Below are 18358 nucleotides of genomic sequence, written 5' to 3' on the forward strand. Positions count from 1 at the left end.
ATAACCTTGAGCATTTCACTAATTTCTCTGGGTCTCAGTCTCCCTATTAAAGGAGACAATATGAAGAACACTGAAATCTACTTCACAGGGCAGTTGTGAGGATTAATTGGGATCAAGTATATAGCGTACATCTGTAAACTACAAAGTTGTACAAATGCAACACTGATAATGACTAAAGCAGTTAACAACTTGCAAATGTCAAACTAATGCAATCTTAGAGAATCCTAATTTTTTGAAACAATGAGCAAAACAGAAAAATAGATCTTTATTTTGAGTCCCGACAGCCACCTGCCACAGCAGTGAGGCTCTCTGATCACAAATTTGATAGAGGACAGACAAAAAGAAACTGCTAACATTCAATACCTCCAAGCCAGGGTCAGCCCTGACAAACAAGTTAACACCAGCAGTATGTTAGAATCCAAGACAGGGCAACCTAAAGCTATGAGAGAGAATTGTTTGGCCAAGTCTAGTTTTTAACTATGTCAAGTCAGGCTGAAAAAAAAAACTGTGACCTTGTAGTTTAATATTAGAAGCAGAGAAGGTATTCTAATTGTGACTCGTATTTTAATTGTGATATTCTAATTATATCTAGACATTCACACAGACACACACATTTTTATAAGGTCCTCCAGAGCTTTGTGAGTAGACAAGAATGTGGATACTACAATAAGAATTTATGTTTAGCTTCACAGATCTACTTGAGATAAAGGATCAAAGTGATTTACGAAGAAGAAATGATAAATTGTTTCACGATTTTGGATGCTCTAAAGGAAAATGGTCTCCCTAGATAGATAACCTGAGTGGGCAGCACTTCCTTATCTCTTCATTTTATAATACATAGACAGGTTGAAGAATAATGAGTCACTCTAGCTTTAAGAGCAAAGGCAAAAGGGAGAAGACTAGAGTGTAAAAGAGGAGGGAAAAAGAGTGATTTTACTTGGTTCATAACCCTGAAAACAGTTACAACCCAAACACAGACCAATGGAGATTTCCATAATAGGATTTTGCTTGATGGGTATCTCATAAATCTTTATTATGGAGCCTGCAATGATGTTAATTTAGGTAGGAGTATTATATTATTCTAGGTACCACATTGTAGCCATTTTTCAAATATTAATAACTCCTTTAGTTAAAAAAAAAACCTCAAAATGACCTGACTTCAGATAACAAATTTCTAGTTCAAAAGTTATTTCAGAAAACAAACCAATTTTTCAGAACAAATGGATAGGGTTCTTCCTGTCAAATTTTTTCCTTCTGCCCTTACCCAGTATTTTCTCTACCAGGGATTAAAGTAACTTCTTCTTGGCTCTCATTATCTTTCTTGAAAAGAATTCACATTCCTTCTTTATAAAGAGTAGCTGGCATCTCAAGAGTAGCAGGAGGAATCTCAAGAAAGATTCTACTTGTTCATGCCAGCTACTCTTTAATCTATAAATGATTACTTCAGGACTCCTCCTAGGACCCCCAAAATTTAAAAATAGGAATAAAAATAAACTAGAACTGGAATGGTCCTACATCTTCATTAAACATTCCCTTTTCTAATAGGGGAAAAATCACCTCATATTTGCCTTGGCTATGTTTGGGAAAATCTACTTAAAATGCTGTGAATTTGGCAGATTCTGTGCTGTCTATATTTTCTGAAAGGCAAGAAAAAATGCTATGAGAGCCTGAGCCACAGTGACACTAGAGGGAGCTGCAATATCAATATCCAGGAGTCATTTACTTATAAACTGTGCAGCAGGAGAACAAAACCAGGCTGCTGAAGGTTGAATCTTCTTGTAAAATACACCATAGGGCCTCTTTCTGGATAAGCTTTTGCTTCTATGATGCTGGCAATACCAAATGCATGCCAAGGGAACTCCTCGTGTGAAGAGCACAGACAGGAAGAGAAGCCCATCCTGGGCACAGTGACCCTCGCCCACTTGCCAGCTCACAGGAAATGCCCGCTTGAGCTATTCTCCAAAGGAGTCAGAGGAACATCAAAAGGGACAGCCAGTCAGCTGGTATATACATATGCACCAACATGAATAACCTACAGTTGCAAAAACAGAGGCTTGAAGGGAAACTGGCTGCTTGTCTGGGTTAATAAAGATCAGTGAGGACAGAGAAGGGAAAAATATTAATTCATTATCAATTGATCATTCAAACAAGTATCTCATGGCTCCTGAGCACTTCCCATCTGTAAGACACAGCATCCTGAAGCATTCTGACCAGATTCCTAAATACAGAGGGTGGGGACCCTTTAACCACTGATAAATCATCTGTTGGAAAACTGGGGGAGAGGGGAAACAACATATTGTCTTCCAGAATCATAGCCAAATTACCCTCTCCTGAGACCTTCTCAGACTCGGGTCAAAGAACCCAACATTTACAATCTTAGCAGGGAAACAGAGCTTGAAAATGATTCATCATGCACAACCTGAAAAGTTTAATTCCAAACATACATTTCAGTTCAGGGGCTCATTTTCCATGTTGCTCATGACAACTGCCCTGCATACCTTTAAGGCAAATTTGTCATTAAAAAGCATTTATGTTTGTAATAACTTCAACCTAGAGAGCTAACTTCTAAAAAGTAGACCATCAGGGGCTTTGACTGTAAAGTCCCATTAAAAATAGCTGGGGAGAAGATAGTGCTGTCTAACACTACTGAACCTTTCAGAATGATCACAAAGCCTGGGACCTGTGAGAGGACATACCTCTTGATGCTCTCTCAACAACAGATACTCTGTTTAAGGCAACTAAGTCAGAGGGATAGGGGGAAAGGTGGACCTGTGCAAAACTGGATGATATGACTATGGAATTAATCTGTCGTTGAATGGCATGGTGTTACTCATTCTTCTTCATTGACCCTTTTTCCCAAAGGTTCCGTGAAGTGCTGGTGTTTGGAGTGCCTGCTCTCCATCCTAGTTTTTCATTGACAAACTCTCTTCCGCAAGCTTGCTCATAGCTTCAACCATGTCATATACACTACTGACTTCCGTGTCTACATTTGTAACGCACCCTTGTCTTTGGGCTTTAGGCTCATCTATACAATGACCTACTTGATTTCTTCCCATATATGTCCTAACCCATAGATTACTTAAACTCAACATAACCAAACCTGAACTCTCCGTCCCACCAAACTCACTGCTTTCCCAGTACTCCCTCTCTTGATGAATGGCTTTGTTACCTGGATGAGAAACCAAATTCACTTTGGATTTCTCCTGCATCTTCACTCCCTATGGCTAATTAATTATCAACTCTCATTGACTTTTCTTCTAAATAACTTTCAAATTATCCTCTTTTCTCCATCTCTATTGCTACCTTCATCACTTGCCTGGACAACCACAAAAGCTTTCCAACTGGTCTGCCTGCCTCTAATGTGATCCCCTCGAATACATCTTCCACATGGCTACAGAGCCATTAAAAAACAACAGCTGGTATTTCCTCCTTATTTAAATTTCCTAGCGGCTCCGCTTTATCCTCATAGGAGAAAGTCCTGGCCTTGCCTCCCTTTCCAGTCCTACTTCCCACCTGTGTTCCATTTGCTCTTACTATATTGAGCTATCTGCAGCCGGCCACCCACTCTACCCTCCAGGTGTTCTCTCAGTTTGGGGCTCCTTGTCACCCCTCATCTGCCTGAGGGATTCCTACTTCTTTTAAAGCCCTTCTCAGGCATTACTTTATCAGAGAGAGGAAGTGCTAAATACCCTAAACCCCCTTTCTGTGTTACTTCTATATCTTGTACATATCTCTATTATTGCAGTTATCACATTTTTTATCTTTAAAAAATTTTTGTTTTTTATAATTTTTTTCAATTTTATTTTAGATTCAGGGGGTACATGTGCAGGTTTGCTACCTGGGTATATCTCATGATGCTGAGGTTTGAGGTACAACTGATCCCATCACCCAGGTACTGAACACAGTACCCAACAGTTTTGCAACCCTTGTCCCCTTTCCTCCCTCCTCTGACATTTTTTTGTCTATCTTACAAGCAGATACTTGTATCTTTAGGGCCTAGCACAGAGCAAGGCACGTAGTACTTGCTCCATATGTCTGTAAAAGATTCTGAGAAAAGGCAGCATCTGATCCAGTGCTGCCATAGGGCTTATTTACTCGGAACAGGTAGAATATATGAACAGCTTTTATGAAACAGATAAAAGTTGGCAAGGTGATGGGGTGGGGGCAACGGCAGATAAACCTGAATAATAAACACTCATGAATGACCTGACTACACAAATGAGTGAAATCTGATCAGTGAGGGCTGTCTGTTGAGTCCAGGCTGCCCTGGGGGCTTGCTGATTTTGTACTGCACAAAACTACAAAACAACATGGCTCTCTGTCATTCGATTCAATTTTCTCTCCTTTGCCCCAAAGAAAGCAATAATTACAAAATATAAGACTCTTCAAAAATATTCTACATTAGCTCTGATTTTTCCATTATGGGCCCAGTATGCCTTCAGCCTACTTCCAGTTTATCAGCAGGGAATCTCATTTCCATCTCACTCTATGCATTCTATAGTGCCTCAGTGAACCTTAAGTGAGATGGATGCTATAGGGAATGAATTGTGGAGGGACAAAAATGAGAAACATTAACAATCATACACATTACACCATCTGTGCCATTTTGTCATATCACACAAAAGTACAACTGCAAATGGGAGTGAGCATAGAATGAAACCCTGCAACTTCTAAATTGATATCCAGTATTTGGTATAATCCCACTCTAAGAATACAGGCTGATCAGTGATTGACCTCAATTCCTTGATCTGCCTAGGAGGAGTATTGCTATACTTGCTGCTACAGAGCTAAGACCCACACACACTCAATGCTGTTACAACTATATTCAAAATAGATTAAGTGTTTAATATATAAAACGCTGTGTGGGCCCAAAGTACTCAGGACTCCATGTTGTAGGAATCTGCTATGAGAACTGTTGGGTAGGCCAGATAATTTACAGCTTGAATTGCTGCAAAAATGTTCACATGCCCAAGAAAGTGATTTTGGATCCTAGAAGAGAAATTCAAGAAGGTAACTGTGTAAGATTTCACCATTTTATTTGTGACTTGTACTCACCAAAGCTTTTCACTCTCCCACTCAGCATGTGTATCCAATGAAAATAACTTGTGTTCCTGAGCCAGTAATTTAGGCTGACAGAATGATGCCCAGGATGTTCACACTAGAGAAACTGAGGCACAGAGTAGTCCAATAACCAGCTCAGGGCCCACATTAGGAATTCAATTAACTTGAATTCCAACTTGTGATTCTCAACTATATCCTCTCACCTCATTAATTAAAGCCATGCTCCCTTTTCCCACCAGACAACTCATTTTGATTCCAGGTTTACACAAACATCCAAAACCTCTCCTTCCTAAATCAATTCCCAGTTGAGACTCAGGTGCTTCTGTATGCACTGAGCCTGAAACAAAACGGACACAAAACTAGGATGGCCATGAGTATGTGTAGTTGGCTGCTGATCAATCACTTTCTGTAAAGTTTCACTGTTAAAAATATTTATTTTGAATTATGAAAGTGGAAGTGGTTTCCCCTCTAGTTTTTTCCTCACCACTAAGCCAGTAATTAATTGTCTGTATATATAGTCTGAACTAGTTGTAAATTCCTACCAATCATAGTTGTTCCTGTAATGCTTTTTCATTTAGTATCTTGTTTTGTCAGCATCCACCCAAATGAGATAAACGGAGACTCTGGAGTCAAAAATGCAGTAAAAGATGTTGGTCTCCACAGTTCACCTCTACATTATTACAAGCTTTTAACAAGATTCTGGCATAGCCGGAAGAAAGGAAGCAGCCCCGCTTTTGTAACAGGGAAGTGTACATCTTTACTGAGTTTTGTGTGTTCTATCCTTGAGAACAAAGACTGGGACTACTTTAAAGATACCTACTATCCCAATTCTGGAACTGTTGGAAAATAACTAAAAAATTTATACTTTTTGCTTATGTGAAATTTTTAGCATCCTCTTCAAAGTAACTGCATCCAAATTTCCTCTGTGGTCTCGCATGGTAGTACTTTTTATAAAATGATCTCATAAGTGCAATGAAAAAACAATATCTCAGTGATACTAAGCCATAATTTTGCCAACTGTCCATCCTGATTCTAAGCAAAAGGCTGTCATTTTTCCATCAAGAAACAACACTGAGACACAGCAAGGTCAGTTTACTGCTTCAGGCATGAAATAATAGGAGAGGTTCTACCTAGGAGTCAGGAGGTAGCCTGCCACGAAGATGGTGTCCCCATGCAGAAGTGATTGTTCCTCTCTGGCCTTAGTTTCCCACTGTGTAGAATGGTGAAGGCCCTTCTAAAATTGGCTTTAGTCTACTATGAGGATATGAGGGATTAGTCTACTATGGATTTAGATATGAGGATTTAGTCTACTATGAGGATATGAGGATTATGTACTTGGTCAGTGCTTACCCAGATTCTTTGAAAGGGAAAAAGCAAGGTAGATTTTTATTTAGAGAACAGGGAAGTTAAGTTCAGGCTTAAGTTTATGTTAAGTTTTACTTTGCGAGCAGGAATATTTAAGTTAACGGCAGAAGGCCAGCCAATATATAGCCCACAGAGACAGACAATGCAATCTGGGTGGTGGCTCATCAAATGGGGAAGAGAGGATAAAAGAAGATATGGATGAGATGGAAAATGGGAGTTGAAAATTAAATATTGTTTGGAAATCAATTTGGCTCTTCTTTCACCAAAACATTTATTTAAAAAGTAGGCTGTGCTCACTGCCTCCACAGCTTCCTCTTCCTATTCGCTCTTTAACTCACTGTGTCTGGCATTCACCCCAATTATTACCAACATTGCATTTTCTTGAGGCTTACAAGACATTAAATTCTTGCCTTCTTCTGAGTCTTCATTCTGCACAAGCCCTCTGCAACCTTGGACTCTCTGGCCTGTAGGGCCCTGCCTTTTGCTACAGATTTTCCAATTGCTCCTGCTTTGGGTCACTTAGATGTGTGGGCCTTTTCCCACTTTGCAGACTCTTCCATTACAATCTCATGTAGTCCCACAGTTTCAACTAAATCAAGTCTATGACCACATTTCTAGGCTTGAGCTCTCTTCTGAGTACCAAACCCATATTTTTACCTGGTTCCTGGGGTTCTTTCAACTTGGCTGCCCTATGGGCATAACCCATTGAGATCTCATCTTTCTGGCTTTTCTGATTCATATTTCAACTAATGGCATCACCATTCTCTTGGAGGTTGTTCTACCTTGAAATTTTAGCATCACTGCCCTAATCCCATACTCACCAGACATGGTCTACTGCCTTCCTCAGCTCTTTAGCCATCTGCCCCTTCTTTTCCTTTGCCTTACATCAGGTCTCATTTTACCTGGACTACTGCAATAGCATAATGACTGGCTTCCTTGCTTCCAGTCCTTCTGACCTCTCTTACCATAGTTGTCATCCAAAATCTTATGTTATTTCTGTTTAAAAATACTTAGTGGCTTCCCACAAAACACAAAATAAAGTCTAACCTCTTAAGCTCATCACTCAAATCTCTAAATTTGTTCTCTAATCTCTCCGTAGCCTAATTTTCCACTATTCTCTCAATGTACTGCATTTACCACAAAGAATAGCAAAGTGGATACAAAAGGCCCTTTCTTATTGGCCCCAAGATATGTGTTAATAACTTATTTCATTCATTAATCTTCATTTATCTTTACATCTCTGCATACCACTCTGAACTTTCATTATAATCTGTTTTAAGAGCTATTATTTATGCCTTTGTCTTTCTTACTGGAATATAAGCTTCTTGAGGGCAAGGCCTTTGTTTCATTCATATGTATTTCTGTAAACTACAACAAATATCACAATGTTTTATACAGTAAACATTTTTTGAAGGGTCAAGAAATATTTATTGAATGCCAGCTATGGACATGATATTATAATAGATGCTAAGGATATAAGAATTAATAAGCCATGGTCCCCGCCATGGAAAAGGTCAAGTATAATAGTGGGGAGAGGGGAGAGGAAGCATGTTTTTGTTTAATTATACAACTGTCTCATGATAATGCAATGATCAAGAAATCCAGTAGGTATAGCGTGCAACATGTGCTCAGAAAATTAAAGTAGAAAATTCAGAGCTGGATTCTTTAAGAATACATAGGAGCTTTCTAAGTATGTGAAAAGGAAGGAATAACCAACTTTTACTAAATGCTTAACTTTGTGCCAAATGATGCTCTCAGCACTGTGTGTGTGTGTGTGTGTATGTGTGTGTGTGTGTATATATATCACCACATACATATTAACTTCTGTGATTTTTTACAATGGTTTTAAGAAGACCTGAAGTATTTTTTCCATTTTACAGATAAAGACACTGGATATAGAAAAGGCAAGTAATGGCAAAGGTAACAGCTAATATGTAGCTAAAGCACAGATTTAAACCCAGGTCTGTCTGACTTAAAAGCCTAAATTCTTAGCCACTTTGTTAACAGTCCTCACATTTTGTACCTAGGCACCGCTTGGGGTACTTGCTACAAATGCAGTTTCCAAGGCCTTACTGCCAGTCATTCTGATTCTGTAGGAAATGACATTTTTAATGAGGATCCCTCAGGTGATTCTGAAATAGGTCACAGCAGATCACAATGCAGAAGTTCTTTATTGTATTATACTGCCTCCCAGGAGAAGAGCAGTCCAGAGAGAGGAACCAGAGTGTGCCAAAGCCGAGTAGCATTAAACAGGTGCTGTTTATAATTGGTACTAGAGGATGGGACTACAGAGATGAATAACTAAGGATACCTGTTTTCAATAAGCTTAGTGTTTAATGATCCAAAATCTGATTCTTGTTTTTTAATTGAAAAGACATTAGGACATCATTTTTTAACTAATCAAAATAACTGTTACCAGCTTGACATAGGAATTATTTGAGTATTACCATTTTGTAGGTCAATTTTCTTAAAGTTATGATCATGTTATTAGTATTCTGCTACTTTCATGTGACATTTAAAAAATGTTTTTCATAATTTTACGTAGTCTTCATAATTACTGCTTTTAGCAGCTACAAACATTCCATTGGACTTATGTGCCATAATTTATTATATTGGTTCCTTAATATAAGGTACCTAGTTTGTTTCCAATTTTTGGAAATACTTAAATTCTTGAAGCTGTCTGTAGCTTTCTCTCATAATTTTAAGGAAAAACAAAGATGTTTACATCTCTGAAGTAAAGAGAAAGAATACCTAAGTGCAGAACCTATCTAATATGCTCAAGCCAAAGCCTAATGTTAAGAAAGAATAATAGTGAGTGATCTATAAGATGTTGAGCAGCAATTTTCCATTATTGTTAATAACAATAATGCATTATTTTATATGTACTTTACAGTTTATAAAACTGTTTCACTACATAAACACATGTACTATAACAATCATCTGAGATAAGTAGGGCAGTTAATATACACTGATGTGAAAACCAAGAGAGGCGCATGACTTGCATAAAAATACACAGTGATATCTTCAGAACTTGGACCCAGGTCAGCTGACTCCAAAGCTCTTTATTCAGTGCTGTGATGCCTTTTCATTTAAGACCAATACAAATAATAAAGCTAATCATGTTGAATGAAGATTAGAATAAATATGAAAGAGGAAAACCTTCAAATCCAGGAAAAGCCCTGAGTTAAAACCACTTACTTTATAACAAAGACAAACATGACACCTGCTATGGACAGAATTGTCTCTCTCCCCAACCTCTTCATATGTTGAAGCCCTAGCCCACAATGTTACTGCATTTTGGAGACAGGGCTAACAAGGAGGTAATTAATTAAAAGAGATCATAAGAGTGGGGCCATGATGTGACAGGATTAGTGTCCTTCTAAGAACAGACACTGGGGCGTGCTTGCACATGCTTCTTGTGTTCTCTCTCACGCTCTCTCTCTCTCCCTGTCATGTAAGGGCACAGTGAGAAGAAGGCTATCTGTAAGCCAGGAAGAGAGCCCTCACTAGAAGCCAAATCAGCTAGAACCTTGATCTTGGGTCTTCCAGCCTCCATAACTGTGAGAAAATAAATTTATCCTTTTCAGTCTATGGTATTTTGTTATGGCAGCCTGAGCAGAATGAGATTTTGATACTGAGAAGTGGTGTGCTGTTGTAAAAATACTTTAAAAGGTAGAAGCAGCTTTGGAATTGGGTAGAGGCTAGAAGAGTTTTGAGATGCATGTGAGGAAAAGCCCAGATAACCATGAACAGATAGTTGCTAGAAATATGGATGCTAGGGGCGATTCTGATGAGGTTTCTGATAGTAACAAGGAACATTATTGGAAACTGGAGGAAAGGGAATCCTTGTCATAACGTGGCAAAGAACTTAGCAGGACTGTGTTTTGTAGAAGACAAAACTTGCAAGAGATGCAATTGAGATTTCTAAGCAAAGTGAAGGAGTGGCTTGGTTCCTCCTGACTGCTTATAATAAAATGTGAAAGGAGAGAGACGAACTGAAAAAGGAATTGTTGAGCAAAAAGAAACCAGAACGTGAAGACTTGGAAAATTTGCAGTCTATCCATACTGTGAAAACGGTGAGGCCAGGCGTTGTGGCTCATGCCTGTAATCCCAGTACTTTGGGAGGCTGAGGCGGGTGGATCATCTGAGGTCAGGAGATTAAGACCAGCCTGGCTAACATGGTGAAACCCTGTCTCTACTAAAAATACAAAAAGCAGTTGGTGTGGTGACGGACGCCTGTAATACCAGCTACTTGGGGGGCTAAGGCAGGAGAATGACTTGAACCTGGAAGGTGGAGGCTGCAGTGAACCGAGATCGTGTCACTGCACTCCAGCCTGGGTGACAGAGTGAGACTCCATCTCAAGAAAAAAAAAAAAAAAGGGAAAGCTTGTTCTAAGAGAATACCAAGGGTGTGGCTAAACAACTATTTGATACAGAGAAGATGGATATGACTTATGGACTTAACCAGCCATCTCAGCACAAGTCAGGGATAATAATGGGATTATACCAGCAAAGACATTGCCAGTTTGAATTAAAAGGGACAAAGTGGGACAAAATAAAGGAAGGCTACTGAACTTGGATTCTACAGGACTAGCCCAGAGAGCTATTTGGCTGCAAACATGTACTGTTCTTCAAGGAAAGGGAAGAATGATCCTGAAAGTGATACAGAAACATCAGGGCTGCTTTTCCCACCAAAGGACCAGTAGGCAAGGCTGTTCCATCCTCAGTTTCAAAGGGTGAAGCTGCCTCTTGAGATCTGGTAGGCTAGGATAACCATGACCAGTGCCTCAGTATTGCGCCACTATGCAGAGCCATGGTGGTGATGGTGCCACCCCAGTGGGCTTGCAGGGGAGAGTATCAAACCAAAGAGGATTATTCTTGGGCCGAAGATTTAATAGAACTTGACTTGCCAGGTTTTGGAATTGCTCAGGATTTATCACTCCTTTCTTCCTTCTGATTTCTTTCTCTTGGAATGGGAATGTCTATCCTATGCCTGTTCACAGTTGTATTTTGTAAGCATGTAACTTGTGGTTTCACAGGTTCACAACTGGAGAGCCTCAGGACAAATCATACCTTGAATCTCACCCATATCTGATTTAGATGATATTTAGATGAGACTTTGGACTTTAGACTTTAGAGTTGATGCTGTCATAAATAAGACTTTTGGAGCTGTTGGAATGTGTTTTGCATGCTATAAGGACAGATATTCTGAGGCAGGATGGGTTAGAGGTAGAGTGCTATGGGCTAAATTATGTGTTCCCCACCACCAACTCATATGTTGAATCCTTAACCCCCAATGTGAGACAGTACCTACAAAGAGGTAATTAAGGCTAAATGAGGTCATAAGCATAGGGCCCTGATACAATAGAACTGGTGTCCTTATAAGAGATACCAGTGCATAGCCTCTCCCTTGCACTCTCTTCCTTCCTCTCTCCCTCACTCCTTGCCATGTGAGGACACAAAGAGAAGGTGGCTGGCTGTAAGCCAGGAAGAAAGCCCTCCCCAGAAAGCAAATAAGTTGGAACCATGAACTTGAATTTTTTAGCCTCCAGAAATAGGGAAAATAAATTTCTGTTGTTTAAGTCATATAGAATATGGTGTGTTGTTACACAACTTGAGCAAACTAAAATAACATACAGTTAGTACTCTATGACTGCAGTGGATTTGGTATTTAAGGATGAGGGGTGATATCCTTTGGCTTTCAAATTGCTAAATTCTACCACTGATTTTTTTTTTTTTTTTGATATGTTGTCCCACTCTGTTGCCCAGGCTGGAGTGCAGTGCCTCAGCTTACTGCAACCTCCGCCTCCTGGGTTCAAGCAATTCTCATGCCTCAGCCTCCCGAGTAACTGGGATTACAGGTGCCCGCCACAATGACTGGCTATTTTTTTTTTTTTTTTGTATTTTTAGCAGAGACGGGGTTTTGCCATGTTGGCCAGGCTGGTCTCCATCTCCTGATCTCAGGTGATCCATCTGCCTCAGCCTCCCAAACTGTTGAGATTACAGGCGTGAGCCACCACGCCCAGTCTACCACTGACTTTTTGTTTGCAACATTTTAAAGAACTTTTAGTCTCTTTAAGAGACAGTTACACCCTTTAGACTATTATAAATTCCCTTAGTATGGGAAGGGAATTTAAGAAGATAAACAGAAAAAGTTGTTTGTGTGGGCCAACTGTTAGTGTCTTTTGCTTATCTCTGCAAAGACAGGGTTCACAGAGCCCTAATAGTACAATCAATTGGGCACTTCTGGCAATACCAGAGGGTCTTAAAAGAGACATTTATATTTAGCATTTAGTGTAAAATATCCTTTTCCAAACCTGCCAACAACTCCTAGTATATAACCACTTGCCATCTGTTCTTTGGAGATTGGTTTTACATCATTATAAGCAAAGAAATCAATACCAGACCACTGATTTGGGAAAGAGACAAGATTCCACGGCAATAATACATAAAGTTAGTCAAGTCCTACTTCTCAACTGTTTTGAAAGAACAGATAGTTCAATGTCCCTTTCTGAAACAGGTACTCATCCTGCATTGGTGATTTTGCAGCAATAAGGGCCCAAGATAGATAAGGCACCATAACCTCAATTTATATAACAGCTCTTAAGTGCTATATAGAATCTCAAAATACCTTTTTAAACTCAATAGTAATGTATTAACTTGAATCCAGATCCCCCTCTTTACAGTTTATCCCTCAGTTTAATTTAAAAAGTGTGAGCTGGAGCACAGGGTTACTCTGCCAGTGACATCAGACAGTCAACTGGTGTAGATACTGTAACTGCAGAGGGTAGCTAGCTGAAGGTCTGTTTCAAACATACATTCTGTCTTGATAGACAGGTAAGGCCAATCGTTACCTTATCCATTAATTTGCTAAGATACCATCTGGTCTTTCTAAGCCTAATTAACATGTAAAAGTCATTTAGATATGTTAATTGGTTTTGAACCAGTGAATAGAATCAGTAAAAAGGGACTATGGGAATGGAGGACACTACCTTAAGTTTACATATAGGGCTTTGTGTTCTTCAAAAACCTTTCATATGCATTATCTCACTTGATCCTACACTCACTGTAAACATCTGAAAGAGGAGGAAATTGAGGCTCAAAGATTGTTACTCTCTTAAAGTAACCTAGGGAAGAAGCTAGTGGCTAGTTAATGAAATGAACAGTTATTAGGGACATTTTGTTTTCTTTTAACCAAACAACAGCTCCATAAGATGGGTGCCATTATTGACAAAGCTACTAAGAGGCAGAACCAGGATCTGAACCCAAATCTTTTGGACTTCAAAGTCCACACTTTATTTATTATATTGATGAAACCTATGGCTTTCTGCTACAGTGAATGTAACTGGGCAAGAATTCTTGATGTCAAGAGTTTAGCTGTCTTGAAGAAGTGGGTTATCTGAAATAAGCAATCCACATGTAAGAAATTGATAAGTGGCACAATGGACAAAATACAGCTATGGAGTCAGAAATATTTGTGATTAAAACTCAGCTCTGGCCAGGCATGGTGGCTCACGCCTGTAATCCCAGCACTTTGGGAGGCCAAGGTGGGCGGATCACGAGGTCAAGAGATTGAGACCATCTGGCCAACACGGTGAAACCCCGTGTCTACTAAAAATACAAAAATTAGCTGGGCATGGTGGTGCACACCTATAGTCCCAGCTACAAGGGAGGCTGAGGCAGGAGAATCGCTTGAACCCGGGAGGCAGAGGTTGCTGTGAGCCAAGATCGTGCCACTGCACTCCAGCCTGGCAACAGAGTGAGACTCCATCTCAAAACAAAACAAAACAAAAACAACAACAAAAAACTCAGCTCTACCACTTGCTAGCTGTGTGATCCTAACCAAGTCAGCCTACTTCTTGGAGCTTCATTTTCCTCATATGTCAAATGGAGAAAAAGATCTTAATCTCATAAAGTTGATGTGAAGATTAAATTACATAACAAAAATATAGTTCCAGGAACATCAATAAACATTAGTTATCCTCCTCTATAAAAATGTTTCTCTAGGGAGCAAAGGAGTTACAGAGCAGAGGTAGACAAGCATTTCTTAGCTGGTAAAGGGTAAAGTCAGAAACATAAACCAGGTATGATGGCTCATGCCTGTAATCCCAGCACTTTGGGAGGCCAAGGTGGGAGGATCACTGGAAGCCAGGAGTTTGAGACCAGCCTGGGCAACATAGTGAGACCACCACCTCTACCAAAACCAAAAAAATCAGTCATGTGGTGGCACACACCTGAGGCTGCAGTGAGCTATGATCATGCCACTGCACTCCAGCCTAAAAAAAAGACAGAAACATGCAGTGAAAGGTACATAACAGACCTCATATTTTTAGGTAGCCCTTGCAAAAAGCAAAGCTCAAGGGTTACCTACTTTTTTTTTTGAGACAGGGTCTCACTTTGTTGCCCAGGCTGGAGTGCAGTGACCCGATCATGGCTCACTTCAGCCCTGACCTCCTGGGCTCAGGTGATCCTCCCACCTCAGCCTCCTGGGTGGCTGGGACTACAGGCATGAGCCACTACATTTGGCTAATTTTTTCTATTTTTTTTTTTAGAGACAGGGTTTCACCACGTTGCCTAGGCTGGTCTCGAACTCCTGGGCTCAAGCTATCCACCTGGTTTGGGCTCCCAAAGTGCTGGGATTATAGCCATGAACCACCATGCCTGGCCAGGTTACCTACTTTAAAAGGACTTCTTTGGCTGGGCATGGTGGCTCACACCTGTAATCCCAGCACTTTGGGAGGCCAAGGCGGGAGGATCACCTGAGATCAGGAGTTTGAGACCAGCCTGGCCAACATGGTGAAACCCCATCTCCACTAAAAATATAAAAATTAGCGGGGCGTGGTGGCAGGTACCTGTAATCCCAGCTACTCGGGAGGCTGAGGCACAATAATTGCTTGAACCTGGGAGGCGGAGGTTGCAGTGAGCCGAGATTGCACCATTGCATTCCACAATGGGCAACAAGAGTGAAACTCCATCTCAAAAAAAAAAAAAAAAAAGACTTCTTTGACTTCTTGAGTTTGGGTTAAGGTATCTCCAAGATCCCATAGAATTCTTGTTTACCTCTATCTTTGCATGCAGTATACTGTTGTAATTCTGTTAAGTTACGTATCTGTTTTCTTTAAATAATAAATAAGCCCCCTGCTTAATCTAGTATCTGGTAAGAGGTAGATGCTCAATAATTTGCTGAATGGAAGAATGAAGGAAAGAAAGGAGAAAAGCAGAATGAATCCATCCCAGTAACAATGTAGTGGTTAAGACTTAACATGAGATTTATAATATTTTCTTACCTTGACTGCATAGTTATTAAGTGGATCTTTTGCATATGAAGCAGTATAGTAAACCGCATCACCTGCCTCACAACATGGTTTGTCACTGGTTAGCCTGAAGTCTGACCAGCTGTCCACTCCAAAACGGAGCTGGTCTTTCTGCCCAGCCATGAAAAGGTCTTCGCATTTAACAGCCAGTTTCTTCAAGGCATCTGTATGAAGGCTTCGGATTTTACCCACTACTTCCTCCCGATTCTCAAGTCCTCGATAAAGTGCTTGTCTCTGCGGCTTCTGGATGCCTCGGCCCTGTCTGCAAGAGGGCCCACGCCGGCTGGAGAGGGATTCCATGCTGTTGGAAAATCTATCCTTAATACTGAGAGTGGTTAAGCTGGAAATGCTGTTTGCTGCTGAGGGGACAGGTCTCTCCTTGCGCAAAGGCCTTTCCAAGGAGTCATAAGACTCAATGTCCAGTCCTTTGAGTTCATAGCTGATGGAAGAACCAGCACTGCTGGCATCCCAGTTGGGGTCGATATCATAGGTGGGATTAGCCATGACACAAAGACTACTTTCCATGGATTTTTGGAGGTCCTTGGAGATTGGCTCTGTATTGGCTCTTATGATCATCTTCTTTGGCAGTGGGGGTGGTGTAGGTTGGGAAGCATTGGGTGCTTCTTGGTCTGTTTTCCCTCCAAAGGCGATGGCATCGTCCACAGCTCCCTTGGGCTGTCGTGGCTGCTTGGGAGGTATCATGGCTGCTCTAGATTGCCCTGTATTGTTTTTAAAGCAATAAAAAGAAAAGAGTAAGTAAAGTTTTCAATCTAATTTTATAACTGAAACTTGAGCAGAAATGAGTGAGGTAGCCATGGGAATGTAAGAATAAGTCAACTCTTTAGTTCAAAATGGGAAAAGAGAACAACCAAAGAACAAATACCTAAACATTGAAGTATCCAAGCCTTGGTGGGAACGACAAATATGCATAATGTCTTGGCCTTGTCTAGGAACAGGGCACTGGTTTGGGTGATGAGTTTTGTTTTCAAAAAGGAAACCAGATTCTCCAGTCCCACCCTTCAGAGTGCTATATATTCACCACACCAGAATATTAAGGGATGACAGACACTCGAATATACTTGGATTGTGACAGAGTAGAGATGATAGCATTGTGGATAAAGAAAATACTTGGGAGCTTTATTACAAACAGAATTGAAACTAGCAATGTGACCATTAGACAGGGGCTCAGAAGATACTATTCTGTTCTTTTTATTCCAAAGTTACATTGTATTATATATAGCATTTGTCATGCATATAACATTTTCCAACACATGAATACAATTTCAAAAGCCATGCTATTTATTTTACTATAGAGATGGATTCTGACATTGCTTAAACTGGTCTACGTAAAAGATTCCTGTGATTGTGGTAAGGGGAACAGTGTATATGAGCAGTCAACTTCTGTTCTGAACACGAATTCCCAAACTCTTATGTGATTCTCTTTTATTTTGGTGGGCATATACATTGTGATTTGAGAGATACTATCTTTCAACATCTTTTATAAGCCCTAGTTAGAGAACCATTCATCTGTGCTTAGTTTCCAGCATTTATGATTAGAAAAAGATAAAACACATGTGTGTTTGAATATACCTTCAGGGCTTATTGTATAACAGAGAGAACACATTATTTTTTAAAGACAGAAAAATATACATGAAACTTCTATAAAGGCTATTAAAAATTAGTTCTGTTATTAAAATGAGGCCTCTACTCAAGATCTCAGAGTTATAAGGCTCTGTTATGGGTTGAATTATATCCCCCAAAAAGGTATGTTGAAGTGCTAACCCCTGGTACCTATGAATGTGACCTGTTGGAAGTCTGTAGATTTAATAGTTAAGATGAGGTCATTAGGACGGGCCCTAATCCAATATGGCTGATGTCCTTATAAGAAGAAAAAACACCATGTAAAGACAGGGACAGAGAGGGAAAACACTACATGACATTGGAGGCAGAGTCTGGAGTGACACAGGTGCAGACTAAGGAATACCAAGCATTGATGGCCACTACCAGATGCCAGACAAAGGCAAGAAAGGAATCTACCCACTGTCTCAGAGGGAACACAGTCCTGCTGACACCTTGATTTCAGACTCCTAGCCTCCATAACTGTGAGAGAATATATTTGTGTTGTTCTAAGCCACCCATTTGTGGTACTTTTTTACAGCAGTCCTAGGAAACTCATACATTCTCCTACTATTGTTCATATAGAGTAGAAGGTGCTGGATGGTGCTGAGGATGACAATGAATAGGGGTGGTGGTTTGTTTTGTTAAAATCACGTCCTTGCAGCATGTCAACGGTAAGCACCAATATAATCTGGGATTGTAATAGTAAGTGTTGCTTATGACAGGGATAAGTTCTGAGAGAGTTAGGCAATCTCATAATTACGCAAAAATCATAGAGTGTACTTACACGAACCTAGATGGTACAGCCTACTACACACCTAGGCCATATGGTATAGCCCACTGCTTATAGGCTACAAACCTGTACAACATGGTACTGTACTGAATACTGTGGGCAATTATAACACAATGTTAATTACTTGATATGGTTTGGCTGTGTCCCCACCCAAATCTCATCTTGAATTCCCACATGTTGTGGGAGGGACCCAGTGGGAGGTAACTGA

The 18358-nt window shown here is 40.2% G+C and overlaps 1 protein-coding gene across 34 annotated transcripts in view; it reads right to left on the reverse strand.

The window, feature by feature from the left end:
- PEAK1 (pseudopodium enriched atypical kinase 1) overlaps positions 1 to 18358 on the reverse strand; it is a 320261-nt gene that overhangs the window by 16638 nt on the left and 285265 nt on the right. For all 34 annotated transcript variants that reach the window (XM_047433077.1, XM_047433076.1, XM_047433057.1 and 31 more), the window contains one exon: positions 15714 to 16459. In XM_047433077.1, coding sequence (XP_047289033.1) covers positions 15714 to 16459 — 746 coding nt within the window. The remainder of the gene's footprint in view (positions 1 to 15713; positions 16460 to 18358) is intronic.

Source organism: Homo sapiens, chromosome 15, assembly GCF_000001405.40.
Source record: "Homo sapiens chromosome 15, GRCh38.p14 Primary Assembly".
NCBI classification, from domain to species: domain Eukaryota; kingdom Metazoa; phylum Chordata; class Mammalia; order Primates; family Hominidae; genus Homo; species Homo sapiens.